This window comes from Homo sapiens, chromosome 16 (genome assembly GCF_000001405.40).
Source record: "Homo sapiens chromosome 16, GRCh38.p14 Primary Assembly".
Classification (NCBI taxonomy): Eukaryota; Metazoa; Chordata; class Mammalia; order Primates; family Hominidae; genus Homo; species Homo sapiens.
In genome coordinates this window covers 91,873-106,414 of record NC_000016.10, presented here as the reverse complement: position 1 = coordinate 106,414, position 14,542 = coordinate 91,873, and the positions used below count along the sequence as shown (strand labels likewise).

At 53.5% G+C, this 14,542-nt stretch overlaps 1 protein-coding gene across 5 annotated transcripts in view, besides 3 other annotated features; it reads left to right on the top strand.

The window, feature by feature from the left end:
• Window positions 1-14,542, top strand: part of NPRL3 (NPR3 like, GATOR1 complex subunit) — a 53,288-nt gene that overhangs the window by 32,259 nt on the left and 6,487 nt on the right. For all 5 annotated transcript variants that reach the window (NM_001077350.3, NM_001243247.2, NM_001243248.2 and 2 more), the window contains 4 exons: window positions 5,906-6,043; window positions 8,114-8,270; window positions 13,090-13,196; window positions 13,690-13,819. In NM_001077350.3, coding sequence (NP_001070818.1) covers window positions 5,906-6,043; window positions 8,114-8,270; window positions 13,090-13,196; window positions 13,690-13,819 — 532 coding nt within the window. The remainder of the gene's footprint in view (window positions 1-5,905; window positions 6,044-8,113; window positions 8,271-13,089; window positions 13,197-13,689; window positions 13,820-14,542) is intronic.
• Window positions 1-14,542: part of a locus control region, noted in NCBI's record as "regulatory region from 0-65 kb upstream of the HBZ (hemoglobin, zeta) gene; 5' extent approximated based on the cNFG2 cosmid described in PMID:2253879", that runs on past both edges of the window. NCBI's record gives its function as "regulates expression of the alpha-globin genes during erythroid development" and the evidence as "EXISTENCE:transgenic organism evidence [ECO:0001131][PMID:2253879, PMID:1425590, PMID:17110138]".
• Window positions 794-1,793: a DNaseI hypersensitive site, noted in NCBI's record as "HS-48; erythroid-specific; the nucleotide coordinates are approximate for this feature". NCBI's record gives the evidence for it as "EXISTENCE:in vivo cleavage assay evidence [ECO:0001075][PMID:15782197]".
• Window positions 1,260-1,327: a conserved region, noted in NCBI's record as "conserved region; multispecies conserved sequence MCS-R1; overlaps HS-48". NCBI's record gives the evidence for it as "EXISTENCE:sequence alignment evidence [ECO:0000200][PMID:15998734]".

The following is a 14,542-nucleotide window of genomic DNA, read 5'->3' as shown; positions in this document are numbered from 1 at the left end:
GCAATCTACCCACCTTAGCCTCCCAAAGTGCTGGGATTATAGGCGTGAGCCACCATGCCCTGCCCCCAGTTGCTATTTTATTTATTTATTTATTTATTTGTTTGTTTGAGACGGAGTCTTGCTTCGTCACCCAGGCTGGAGTGCAATGGCACAATCTCAGTTCACTGCAACCTCCGTCTCCCGGGCTTAAGTGATTCTCCTGCCTCAGCCTCCTGAGCAGCTGGGATTACGGCGCCTGCCACCAGGCCTGGCTAATTTTTGTATTTTTAGTAGAGATGGAGTTTCACCATGTTGGCCAGCCTGGTCTTGAACTCCTGACCTCGTGATCTGCCAACCTCGACCTCCCAAAGTGCTAGGACTACAGGCGTGAGCCACCACGTCCGGTCCCCAGTTGCTATTTTAATTAAAGCTAGGGTTATGGTGTGGCTGAATAGCCTGGTGGCCCTGTCCTGCAGGACCTAACATCTGTGAATATAGGCTGGGAATGTGAATCGCTCAGGAGGCCACCCCAACACTTGTGCCATACCTAGCACTTGTGTCTCCCTGTGGATCCCAGTGGCCCTCAGTGACAGCATGTCACTCATTCATATGACCATTGAATTGTGTCTCCCAGGAGGGCAGGGATGTCTCTTCACTTTCTGCAACACAGCCCCTACACTCAGCCTGTGGAGGAGCACAGCTCATCCGCTAGGGGTCGACGGAATGTGTGGGTGGGAATAACAGCAGTGTAGATTCCATGGAGTGTGAAGAAGTGATTTGCTGAATGGTTCTCCGAGTTAACAGGACCTGTGGTGGGGAGTGATGTCCAGGGTCTGGCTGGGTAGGTGGTACTTGGTGCGGAGCCTTGCACTGCAAACTGTCGAGAGCAGGGTTGGTCCCATGGACCCTCTGTGAATATCCTGAGTTGTAGTACCCATTTCCATAAAAATGCACCTATATATAAACTTTCGTTTGAAATTTCAAGGTAGGCTGTTTGGAACCCACATAGATCTTTTGGGTTATGCAGCATCCCACTACTTATGGTAGGAAGCCAGGCCCATCCGTGGGACCAGAGGATGCAGAGGTTTGCAGGATAGCTTCACAGGTCCTGTCTAGTTCTAAGGTTAGGAATGGATGCTTTCTCAGATGCTAAAAGCTGAGGGGACTAGACTAAGCTTGTGCACATTTCTGTCTTGGAGATGAACGGCGAGAGTGTGTTTGAAGCCAGCCATTCCCTTTTGCATAGTCATTGTCAGGATGCAGGGCTTTGGCTGGGGCACCTATCTCCTGTCACAGACTGGGCTGGGCCCTCTTGGCTGGCCCAGAGCTGTGTGAGGGGCTGGATAAGTCTTGAGGAGGACAGTGTTTTCCTCCAGAGTGTTTTCAGACCAAACCATTAAACACCTTGCAAATAGAAGTGCAAGCTCGGCAGGAAACCTTTCAGGGCCCAAACCCTGCTTGTGCTAAGGGCTCTTGTCTTAAAGCTGCAGACTTAAAAACAGTGACAAACCTTTCTCTTTCCCCTTGTTAACAGACCTCAGTGCAGCTCCTGGCTTACCCTCTTACTGTGGGGGATTTACAGGCTGGAGGTTGGGCCGGCACCTTTCCAGAGCAGTCATCCCTCTGACATGTTCAGGGAATTTGCCCAGGTCTGCCATGGCCTTTGGGGCACTCCTGGTGGCAGCACTTGTCACCGCTCTAGGGAGCTGGGTTAGTTCATAAAGAAGCACCAGCCTCAGTGCAGAGTGCTCTGAGGGAGAAAGCAGCAGGTGGGTGAGCTGATGCTTGGGAAAATGGAGTAAAGTCCACGTGGAAGTTAGAGGAACCAACATGGCGTGTCTCTGCCAGAGGAGAGGGCCCCATGCCAGTGTACAAACCAGACCACATGACTGCGGCTCCAAGGACAGCTGACACGGTGAGGGCAGCAGAGATGACCAAGCTGGGAAGTCACTAGAAGAACCTTCATGTGACCCTCCTGCCCTCATTTCTCCATACCCATAGCTGGAACTTGTTCCTGGCTTTCCATGAGGTGTGTTCCAAGCCCCTGTTCCTTTCCCTATAACTCTCTCCAGTTTCTAATGCTCCATACAATTTGATTACAATTAGGTGTCTTTTTTTTTAAACGTTAATTTCAATTTTTTTTGAGACAGGGTCTTGCTCTGTCACCCAGGCTGGAGTGCAATGGCGCGATCTCGGCTCACTGCAACCTCCGCCTCCTGGGTTCAAGTGATTCTCCTGCCTCAGCCTACCAAGTAGCTGGGATTACAGGCACCTGCCACCACACCTGGCTAATTTTTTTTTTTTTTTTTGAGATGGAGTTTCACTTTTGTTGCCCAGGCTGGAGTGCAATGGCACGATCTCAGCTCAGTGCAACCTCCGCCTCCGCCTCTACCTCCCAGGTTCAAGTGATTTTCCTGCCTCAGCCTTCCAAGTAGCTGGGATTACAGGCATGCACCACCACGCCCAGCTAATTTTGTACTTTTAATAGAGACGGGGTTTCTCCCTGTTGGTCAGTCTGGTCTCAAACTTCTGACCTCAGGTGATCTGCCCATCTCAGCCTCCCAAAGTGCTGGGATTACAGGTGTGAGCCACGGCACCCGGCCTAATATTTGTATTTTTAGTAGAGACAGGGTTTCACCATGTTGGCCAGGCTGGTCTCGAACTCCTGACCTCAAGTGATCGGCCTGCCTCGGCCTCCCAGGTTTTGGGATTACAGGCGTGAGCCGCCACGCCCGGCCAATTATGTGTCTGTCTAGATGCCGCTGAGTGAAGCCCCCAGCGTGCAGAGCAGCCAAGTTATTTTCTTCCCTGCTGCACTCCAAGTACCTAAACTGGTGCTGGGAGCCACAGCACATGTCATAAGGCCTCACTGTGCTCCTAGATGGAGCAAAGACAGCTACATTTGAAACAATAGGAGCCTCCGTATTCTGATTCTGTGGTGTCCCAACAGCCACTTTGAGCTGCATCCTAAATAGGACAGAAACAGAAAGGCCTTGGGTGGGTGCGGTGGCTCACGCCTGTAATCCTAGCACTTTGAAAAGCCAAGGTGGGAGGATCGCTTGAGCCCAGGAGTTTGAGACCAGCCTAGGCAACATAGACCCTGTCTCTACAAAAAAAAAAAAAAAAAAAAAAAAAAAAATCACCCCAGGCGTGATGTTGCACGTCTGTAGTCCCAGTTACTTGGGAGGTTGTCTTGAGCCTGGGAGATCAAGGCTGCAGTGAGCGGAGATGGCGCCACTGCACTCCAGCCTGAGCAACAGTGAGACCTTGTCTCAGAAAAAAGAAAAAAAAAATAGACCTTTTATTTCCAGTGGCCCTCCTTTCTGACCCAGATGGTGACAGCACAGTGCATGGGGCCACCTCTCGCTTGCCCTTTCTTCCCTGTCGCATACGGATGCCAAGATCCTAACTATTGCTTACTCAAGTTGAGTAACCTGGATCCCCTGGACAAATCTCTCCTGGTGTGATCTTTAATTCCTTAGCGGCTGGGACATTTCTCAGGGTTTGATACGAGTTTTTCACCCTGCAAAGACCCTGACCAAAGAGAGGTAAGGTTCTGGGAGCCTCTGTCTGCCCCGACATACTTGGTTAGCATGCAGTTCTGGAAGAAGCTGAGACTGCTGCCCTCCTCTGGGACCTTGGGGCCATGGTGTTCTCTGAGCACCCCGTATTGACGTGTCCTAAGAGACGTCCGAGGGGCCGTTTGTACCTTCTGGCCTGGGGCAGCCAGAAGTCTGGCCAAGTCTCCCGGACTTAGCCGGATGTGGGTGTGTTGGCCTGTCCCGCCAACTGGGAGCTGAGAATAGCAGAATAGGGTCAGGGGGTGATGGGAAAAGCACTAGTTGGCTGCTCTCCTGGGCAGTGGGGCAGTGAACAGAGGAAACATGATGCGGGGAGGTGCTGTAGAAATGGGCAGTTTGGAGAAGAACTTGTGTGTGTTTTGCTCCTATTTTAGAACTGGTGTCATTGTGAGGCTTCACAGGCTGCGTTCCCTGTGCAGGACACAAGGAAGGTGCCGGCCACTTTGAGTAGCCAGGCCTTGACAAGAGTAGGTGGAGATCCCCCCTGTTGCCTGGAGCCTCCGGGGATGCGGTGAAGGCCAGCTGCAGACAGCTTTGCTTGAGCAGTTGCATCTCCTCTGTGTCATAGAACAAGTGCTGTTGGCTCTTACTTAAGGCAAGGGCGCTTTGTGGTGAGCGGTGGAGTTGGGTGGCGCCCTGGCTTCTCCATCAGGGAGTTTTAGAAGCTCCTGGTGAAAACAACTCCTTCCTTGTTTTGTGTGGTTCCCCGAGGGGATGACGTGGGCTGCATCCCCACTGTGGAGCCTGTTCTTGGGGCAGGGCTTCCTAGGAAAGACAGTGCATGCAGGGAGGGCGGTGTGTTCCTTGGCTTCATTCAGGAAATGCAGCTCCGTGCCTATGTGCCTGACACGTTTTACAATGTGTAGAGAGCAGAGAATGAAACCCACAAGCCCCCCTCCTCAGGAGTGAGTTCTGGTTGGGGAGACAGCATTAGGCAGCGGGTCAGGGGTTGGAGTGTCAATGGGGCTGGGGTCAGGGGTGCTTCACTGAGAATGTGACACTTGAGTGGAGACCGATGGAGTAAAGGAGCCTTGGGGCGTCTGCAGAGAGTTTGTGGGCAAGGGCAAATGCCAGGGCCCTGAGCACAGCGGGACCTGAGTGACTGGGCACAGGGAGTGAGGCCACAGGAACGTGGGTGTTGCAGGCCCATGGCTGGGACTGCCCAGGTGGGAGTGTGGGGAGCGGTAGTCAGAGGGGCCAGTGCTCTGGGTGGCTTGGGCCTGGTGATGCTGAAAAGGCCTGGATTTTGGACATCCCTGCAGGTGGAGCAGATGGGATTTGCTGATGGTTTAAAGTGGACTGTGAAAGAAATAAGGAAACTGGGATGGTGTTGCTATGTTTGGCCTGAGCAAGCTTTGGGACCCGAAAGAACCAAGTTACCCTTACTGATAGAATGTGGAGTGAAAGGTTTTCCGTCGTAGTGAAGTGTTGGGGCTGGCTAGCACGGCTGGCTTGTGGTGACCACTTGGTATCCACATGCACTGCAACTGAGGTGCTGTGGGCATCTGCAGACTGCAGGGAGGTGGGCACTGTGTGCTTCTCACCACTGGAACACTCTGGGGGACTTGGCATTCCTTCCCTGCCCTCCTCGCCCTCTGAGACAGCCACTGTTCTGCCTGGACGTGCACCTGTGACGGGTCTTCATGAGGTGTGCAGGGCAGGCCCATTCACAGGGAGGATGTACTCTGGGTGTTGGGTGTCTGCCAGGGGTCTGGACGGGCAGGGGCCTGAGTTAGAGTGCCTCTAGTGCACTGAGTCCCCAGGACAGGGTACGGCTTCTCTCAAGCCCTGGCAGTCTGGTTGGACTACAGATTCCAGGGCTAGCCAGAAATATGTTTCTCTTTTTCTTTCTTCTTCTTCTTCCTTTTTTTTTTTTTTTTTTTTGAGACAGAGTCTTGCCTTGTTGCCCAGGCTGGAGTGCAGTGGCGTGATGTTAGCTCACTGCAACCTCCACCTCCTGGGTTCAAGTGATTCTCCTGCCTCAGCCTCCCGAGTAGCTGGGACTACAGGCGCCCGCCACCACACCTGGCTAATTTTTGTATTTTTAGTAGAGACGGGGTTTCACCGTGTTATTAGCCAGGCTGGTCTCGAACTGCTGACCTCGTGATCCGCCCACCTTGGCCTCCCAAAGTGCTGGGATTACAGGCATGAGCCACCGTGCCCGGCCCCCATATTTTCTTTTCTTAAACATAATGTGATCTTAAGAGATGCTCTCCTGCCCGGGTCTCCACCTGCAGTTTCCCCTAAGCAGCAGGGGAATCAGCACCATTGAGCAGGGTGTTTTCTGATCTGTGTGCATGGTTAGAAAGTTTATGTGAACGGGTAACAGCGCCCACTCTCTGCAGCCTGTGCACGTCGGGCGTAGTTCGGCTTCACATCAACAGCTGGCTGGAGGTGAGCTTCTGCCTGCCCCACAAGATCCACTATGCGGCCTCCAGTCTGATCCCCCCAGAGGCCATCGAACGGAGCCTGAAAGCCATCCGGTAAGTGCCCAGCCCCACGTGCTCACTCCCTGCCAGGGCCCTTCCCTTTAGCTTCTGCCTGAGATTTTACCACTTACTTTGTTCCAAAATTTCTCTTTTTCTTCTTCCCACTGCGGAAGCTTGCAGGTGGGGCTCTGCCGTTTATAGAAGTTAAAACACATAATTTTGTATCCAGTTGTGTCCAGAAATGACCAATCCCAGGTTTCTCCTGGGCCCTTCTGGCACCACCTTAGGCTTGGGCAGGGCAGCCTGGATGTGGGGCTGAGTGTCCTTGGGGAGGCCGGAGGGCTGGAGGGACTTCATCTTAATGGTGTTGCCCTACCCCAGTCTTTTGCATTTCAGTCAGCACTCATGGGATCTCAGTTATTTTCTTTTTCTTTTTTTTTTCTTTTTCTTTTTTTTTTTTTTTTTTGCGGGGGTGTGTGTGTGTGTGAGAGAGAGACAGAGTTTTGATCTTATCGCCCAGGCTGGATTTCAGTAGTGCGATCCCGGCTCACCACTACGTCCACCTCCCAAGTTCAAGTGATTCTCCTGCCTCAGGCTCCCGAGTAGTTGGGATTACAGGCGCCCACTGCCATGCCTGGCTAATTTTTTTGGTACTTTTAGTAGAGACAGGGTTTCACCATGTTGGCCAGACTGGTCTCGAACTCCTGACCTCAGGTGATCCACTCATCGCTCATCTCAGCCTCCCAAAATATACTTTCTTAATTTAATTGACTTTTTTTTTTTTTTTTTTGAGATGTAGTCTTGCTCGGGGCTCAAGTGCAGTGGCACAGTCTCCACTCAGTGAAGCCTCTGTCTCCCGGGTTCAAGCGATTCTCCTGCCTCAGCCCCCTGAGTAGCTGGGATTATGGGTGCACACCACTACACCTGGCTAATTTTTGTATTTTTAGTAGAGATGGGGTTTCACCATGTTGGCCAGGCTCGTCTTGAACTCCTGACCTCGTGATCCACCCGCCTCGGCCTGCCAAAGTGCTGGGTTACAGGTGTTAGCCACCATGCCCTGGCAATTTAATTGATTTTCTGCAAGGAAAGAACTGAGCCCAGTCTTCTGGCACCACCTGTTCCCAAGTCCCCCAATACCTTGAACATTTTTTAATTATAAAAATATATCTGGGCACATTGCTGAAAATTTGGAAATGACAGAAAGCAAAGCGCTGCCTAGTTCCACCCTCCCCAGTCCGTGCTCTTTGCTTTCAATCCTAGCTAAGCATATTTTAATGTACTTTGGTCCCTAGTCTGTGAGGAGGATTTTGCTTTTCCCATATTTGGGACAATTTCCTTAGGAAAGATTCATTCATGTCTTCAATCAACAGATGTTTGCTGGGCGTCTCTGAGGTGGGATACAGAGTCCAGTCTTCGAGCCTTCCCCACTTTTGTCGTGTTTTTTTCCGAGGGTGACATAATCCTTGCAGGTTTTGTTTTTGTTGTTTTTGAGACAGAGTCTCACTCTGTCGCCAGGCTGGAGTGCAATGGCGCAATCTCGGCTCACTGCAAGCTCCGCCTCCCAGGCTCAAGTGATTCTCCTGCCTCAGCCTGCCGAGTAGCTGGGACCCCAGGTGGGTGCAACCACACCCGGATAATTTTTTTATTTTTAGTAGAGATGGGGTTTCACCATGTTGGCCAGGCTGGCCTCGAACTCCTGACCTCACGTGACCTGCCTGCCTTGGCCTCCCAGAGTGCCGGGATTATAGGCATGAGCCAGTCCTTGGCAGATTTTGTGAAGGCCTCCAAACAGACCACTGCCCTTTTCTCAAATCCCGCTCTTGGCCCTTCTCTCCGCAGTTAAGGGCCAGGAGGCTCCAGCTGCCTGTTTGTGTCCCAGGTGCATACCTGATGCACACCCGGTGCAGGACCTCGTGCAGGACCTGGTGCATACCTGGTGCAGGGTTCCCTGCACTTCGTATGTTCCGTGTGTTTGAGTCCCAGGTGCATACCTGGTGCATACCCGGTGCATACCTGGTGCAGGACCTGGTGCATACCCGGTGCATACCTGGTGCAGGACCTGGTGCATACCCGGTGCAGGGTTCCTGCACTTCGTGTGTTCCGTGACAGGTGATTGTTTTGCAGCCCCTACCATGCCCTGCTGCTGCTCAGTGATGAGAAGTCCTTGCTGGGTGAGCTTCCTATTGACTGCTCCCCTGCCCTAGTGCGGGTGATCAAGACCACATCTGCTGTGAAGAACCTGCAGCAGCTAGCCCAAGATGCGGACCTGGCCTTGCTGCAGGTATAGCTCTGGAGGCCCAGATGGGTGGCATGTGGCGGTGCTGGGGCATCAGGAAAGGCAGGCCGCCTGCCACAGTACATCCACAGGGGCTGTGTCCAGCTGAGAGCCGCGGCACAGCCCACCATGGGGTGGGGCCAGTCCCTGGGATGGCTGGAGGTTTTGGCATCTGAGTCAGACCTGGGTTCAGGGCTGGCTTTGTGAGTGAGCCACGGGACTGACTTGTTCTTCTGTCTCAGAGAGGTAAGGCGAGTCTGTGAGAGAAAGGACTGGGGTGCTTGCAGTCCTGGAGGTTGAGGCACCAGAGCTAGGGGGTGGGCAGGGCAGCAGCGGGCAGGGCCATGGGGGTCTCACAGTGGTGCATGAACAACATACGGGAACTAAGGGCAGGAAGCTTGGATGCGGGGCCCTCCCATGTGCAGAACAGAGACCTAACCTGGTGGCCTTACGCCCCTGTGTGTGCACATGTGTTGGCCTGTGCACTCTGTACAAGATGCCACGTCCTTGCTGAGCCACATGCTTATGGGCCTGTCCATGCAGAGGGCTGCCCTTTCTGATTAGATGGAGGGCCCCTCAGCCTCGTCTGCGGATCTGGTTGGAGTGTGGGAGGAAAAGCGCAGGCAAGGCTGGGCACGGTGGCTCATGCCTGTCATCCTAGCCCAGGACTTTGAGACCAGCCTGAGCAACATGGCAAAACCCCGTCTCTACAAAAAATACAAAAAAAAAAAAAAAAAAAATAGCTGGGTGTGGTGGCGTGCACCTGTAGTCCCAGCTACTTGGGGGTATGAGGTGTGAGGATCAATTGAGCCTGGGAGGCAGAGGTTGCAGTTAGCTGAGATTGTGCCACTGTACTCCAGCCTGGGCGACTCTGTTTCCAAAAAAAAAAAAAGCACGGGGAGAAATCAGAAGCAGGGGCTGCTGATGGGGTGGCCAACAGGCCATGGGATCAGCTGTGGCTGCTAGTCATGTGGGCGTGGCCCAGAGCCACGGGACCATTGAAATACTGCCTGAGGGTGGGAGCAGGTGGTGCCTGTGGGTGGCGCCCTCGTCTGGTGGCGGTGTGCACAGCATGGCCACCAGGGGGCAGCAGAGGCTGCCGAGGAACACAGGCGTGAGGTGGGCCCGCCTGGGTCCCTCTGGCTGAGCTTCCATGCTCTTTTGGCCTGTGAAACAGGTCTCTGCTTAGCACGTTAGGGGAACTTGTCCAACAAGGCCTGACTCTCAGGCCACTTTTCCCCGAAAGCAGCCTTTTTGGATTCTGTCTTTGAGAGTAAGTCTCCCGCCTCTGTATCTCAGGACCCTTTATCTATCCTCTGTGAGAGCACTTACCAAATTGTGCCCTTGTATTTCTTTTTTCTTTTCTGAGACAGGTTCTTGCTCTGTCTCCCAGGCTGGCATGTGGTGGTGCCATCATGATCCACCCAGGCTCAAGCATCCTCCCAAGTAGCTGGGACTACAGGTGTGCGCCTGGCTAATATTTTTTTTTTTTTTTTTTTTTTGGTAGAGACGGGGTTTCCCTATGTTGCCCTGGCTGGCCTCATACTCCTGGGCTCAAGTGATCATCGCACCTTGGCCTCCTAAAGGGCTGGTATTACAGGCATGAGCCACCATGCCCAGCTGTGCCTTTGGACTTCATGGGCTGGACAGGACTCAGTAAACACCATGTCCTGCCCACCTTCATAGCATTCAGGAGACAGAGAATTTTAAAAGAACTCACCACTCCATACAACCCTGCAGAGTGAGGGAGGCAGTGACCCTCCGTGTCCTGATGAGCACCGACCACATGGTAAATGCCTGTGGCTGTTCACTGGTCCTGTGTTGAGCTTTTGAAAGGAGCTGGGCCTGGCTTTCCTGAGGCTGTCTGGCAGGAGTTTGTGCTGGACACTGTGCCTCTCATCCTTGCTGTCAGAGTCTCCTTGGACAAAGCTTTGATGCCCTCTTCTGAGGTTGTCTGGCAGGAGTTTGTGTGGACAGTGTGCCTCTCACCCTTGCTCTCAGAGTCTCCTTGGACAAAGCTTTGGTCTCCTTTTGATGTCCCCTTCACTTCCCTGCCGTGGCCTTGACTGGGGAGAGGGAAGGCTGTTTGTCATTGTTTTCTTCTGTCTGTACCCCTTCCCTGCTGTCCCTGCTGCAGGTCAGCAGGGCGTTGCTGCTGGTGTGGCGGTGCGGAAGCCCCTGGGGCCCAGCCCTGGTGGGTCACTCTGTTTCCGGAGATAGCCCCCTGGGGAGCACCTGCCTCAGGTGTGAATGTCACCAGATAGTTTAAAGTCCCTCATGTGGCTGGGTGCAGTGGCTCATGCCTGTAATCCCAGCACTTTGGGAGGATGAGGCAGGAGGATTGCCTAAGCCCAGGAGGTCACGACCAGCCTAGGCAACATAGGAAGACCCTGTCTTTACAGAAAATTAAATAATTAGCTGGGCATGGTGGTGTGTGCCCATGGTCCCAGCTACTCAGGAGGCTGAGGTGGGAGGATCACTTGAGCCCTGGTGTTCGAGGCTGCAGTGAATTGTGATTTTACACACTGCAGTCTGGGCAACAGAGCAAGACCCAGTCTCAAAAAATAAAATAAAATAAAATTCTTCATGTTTATATCAATCCAGAGAGAATCTACAAGTAAATTTTGGGTGTGTCATGATAAAATTAGTATGTTACAAGACTTCAAACACTACACAAATTATAGACACAGAAAGTTCCCACAGTCCCATATCCCACAGGTAACCTAGATCCCTCCAGGTTTTTTATCTGTATATATACATTTTATTGTGTGTGTGTGTGTGTGTGTGTGTGTGTGTGTGTATATATATATATATATATATATATACACACACAAACATTTTATTTTGTATTATGAAAATTAGGATCGTGCTGTATATTCGTTGTGATTGGCTGAATAATGGCCCCCACAGATATACACATCCTAATCCCCAAAATCTATGAATGTGAACTCATGTGGGACTTTGGAGATGTTACTAAGTAGAAGATCTTGAGATGGGAAGATCATCCTGTTGAGCTCTAAATGTAATCTCTAAGGCCCTTATCAGAGGGAGGCAGAGGAAGATCTGATAAAAAGAGGCAGCGATGTGGCCACAGAGACAGAGTGGAGTGACGTGACCGCAAGCCAAGAGACACTGGCCGTTGAAGAGGCAGGACGAATTCTCTTCTGGAGCTTCCAGAGGGAGCCTGGTCCTGCTGGCACCTTATGCTTGCCCTTAAGTACTGATTTTGGATTTTCAATTTCCAGAATGGACAGCATCTTGGAGAGGCTGCTGCAGGGAGAGGCAGGAGGTGGAGACCACTATGCTGAGCAGAGCTGGGGGAAAGTGGGGGTGTCTTTTTGAGAGAGACATGCGAGTGGCACGTGGGGTGAGGGAACAGGGCGGTGATGGAGCTGAAACCTGCCATGTCGGGGTTGGCGGAGCCATTGGGGGCACTACTCGCACAATCTTGGCTCACTGCAACCCCCACCTCCCAGGTGCAAGCAATCCTCCTGTCTCAGCCTCCAAGTAGCTGGGACTACAGGCATGTGCCGCAGTGCCTGGCTAATTAAATAAAAATTTTTGGCAGAGATGAGGGTCTCACTATATTGCCCAGGTTGGTCTCGAACTCCGAGGTTCAGGCGATCCTCCTGCCTTGCCCTCCCAAAATGCTGGGACTACAGGCATGAGCCACTCACTCAGTCTGGAGGCCCTGTTTTCTGAGCTGAGGTATAAGTGTCCTCAGCAGCAGGGCAGCACGGTGTCCAGGCAGGGGTGACTCACCTCCACAGAGGCCTACCCGCCAAGAGGGTGGAGTGGTGTCCTGGGCTGATGCAGAGGCAGAAGTGCGAGAGCTTAGGATTTCACACACCTTTTCGTGAAGTGCTGGGGTGCTGTGCTCTCAGACCTCAGGCCTGAGCTTTCCTCTGGAAGGGGTTTGGGTTGTGTTTGTGTTTCCTGATGTTCAAGGGTCCACAAGAGCAAAGCTGGGAGGGGGGTCTCTGTGGGAGTCGGGGCACATGGGGCAGACCTGGGGCCTTTGGGTATGTAGGGGTGGCATGCTGAGTGACTCCACACCCATCATCGGGCAAGGCCATGCTGGAGTTTTAGGGGGTATAAGAGGGCTGTGCCCCTGCCAGGACATCCAGCTAAGCCCCCTGCCCAGCTGGGCCAGCACTGTGTTCCCAGCACCCCAGACATTCCCATGCTTGTGGCCTGAGACCACCATTCTTCAGTGGGAGTCAAGACAGCATAGGATGGGAAAACAGTGCCACCAAACAGCACAGGGAGCAGTGACAAAAAGGCCATTGTGGCCGGGTGCGGTGGCTCATGCCTGTAATCCCAGCACTTTGGAAGGCCAAGGTGGGTGGATCACGAGGTCAGATCGAGACCATCCTGGCCAACATGGTGAAACCCTGTCTCTACTAAAAATACAAAAATTAGCTGGGCGTGGTGGCATGTGCCTGTAATCCCAGCTACTCAGGAGGCTGAGGCAGGAGAATCGCTTGAACCTGGGAGGCAAGAGGTTGCAGTGAGCTGAGATTGTGCCACTGCACTCCAGCCTGGGCGACAGAGCAAGACTGTCTCCAAAAAAAAAAAAAAAAAAACCATTGCTCACAGAAAGTGCTGTGTGCTGGCTGTGCCCCACATCCTAGTGAGAGGTTGCGAAGGTGCTATTCCACGTTAGGGAGGAAGTCTCGGGCCATAGCCACCAGGTGTGTTCTGCATGAGGCTGGGGCCAGCTTCTCCAGGCTGGTAGGCCATGGCCACCCAGGCTGAGAGCTGCTGACAGCTCCCGGTGGGCCAGCCTCAGGCATGGTCCTTGCAGCTTCCCTTTTGCCTGCAGGTTTTCCAGCTTGCAGCTCATCTGGTGTACTGGGGCAAGGCCATCATCATCTACCCGCTGTGTGAGAACAACGTCTACATGCTGTCTCCCAATGCCAGCGTATGTCTGTGAGTGCTGCTGGCTGCCAGAGCCTGGAGCCCCGAGTGGGAAGGGGTGAGGCTGGCAGGGCCCTCCAGATGCTGTTCTCTGTGTTGGCCAGGCACCAAAGGCTGTGGAAGCCCCAAGGCCAGGCTCTCACTTCAGCCTAACTCCTGGCCACTAGCATACCCAGGTCCCAATTCTGGTCTGGCTCTGTGCTCTGTGGCTCTCCTGTGTCCCCCATATGCCTGGCCCCCTCCTCCAGGCTGGCTCTTCTAATCCACCTTGAGGGATCAGAGGTGAGATGCAGGATGAACTGTGCCCATGGCTCCTGCTGCTGCTCAAGGGGAAGTGCCCAGGCTCTGTCCACCTGGAGGCCTGCCTGGCCTCATACCGTTCTGCCCTCATCGCACTGTCCTGACCCACCTGCCACACTTTGCTTCTCTGCTGCCCACTGAGGCCAGTGTTGAGAACACGGTGGGGGGGTCTGCTGCACTCACTGGCATGCTCACCTGCCTGCAGGTACTCCCCGCTGGCCGAGCAGTTCTCCCACCAGTTCCCATCTCATGACCTGCCGTCCGTTCTTGCCAAGTTCTCCTTGCCGGTCTCCTTGTCAGAATTTAGGAATCCCCTGGCCCCCGCTGTGCAGGAGGTGAGTCACAGAAGCTCAAGGAGCCCAGAGTGGCAGGTGTGTAGTGGATAGGCACTACCTGCCTGGCTGTTGGTTCTGATCTGAGAGCCCTCAGCACTGCCACCTGCTTCTCCTTGGTTTTGGGGGCTTGCCGTGCAAGTGCTACGTGCCCAGCAGGACCCAAAAGTCAGCTGCCGGGCCACCTGCAGATGCTTGGCCAGTGACCCAACACTTGAGCAGTTGTTCCCTCCCCATAGAGCCCACCCTGGCTGTGGCAGGCAGTTTTTAGTGTTAGAACCGAGTTAAGCAGGAGAGTGCTTACCTTTTCTGGGCCTACAGACCTGCCTTGTACCCCTTTGGGACTGGGGACTGCCTACAGATGAGGGTGCAAAGGCAGTTTTGTTCTCACTGGGCCAGGCCTGACCCTCTGAGAGTTCTGCTTCTGTCTTCACTCCCTGCCATGGTTCAGGTGGCCACAGGGTCTGTGGGTATGAGTTCTGGGGTCACTGGTCCCCAGAATCTCCTCATTCAAGAGAGCCTAGAGAGGACCCTAGTGGGCCTGGATCAGGGCAACGGGCAGGCAGGTTGGGAGCTAGGAGTGGCTGGGGGATAGGAGGCCTCCTGCAGGTCTGTGGGATGAACTGGTGCACCTGCATCTGTGGCAGGGCCAGTGGCTTCCCCTGTGGGCTGCAGGTGTCATAGCCTTGTGCTGAGGTGGCTTTGCCATCCTCCCCTCCACTGAGT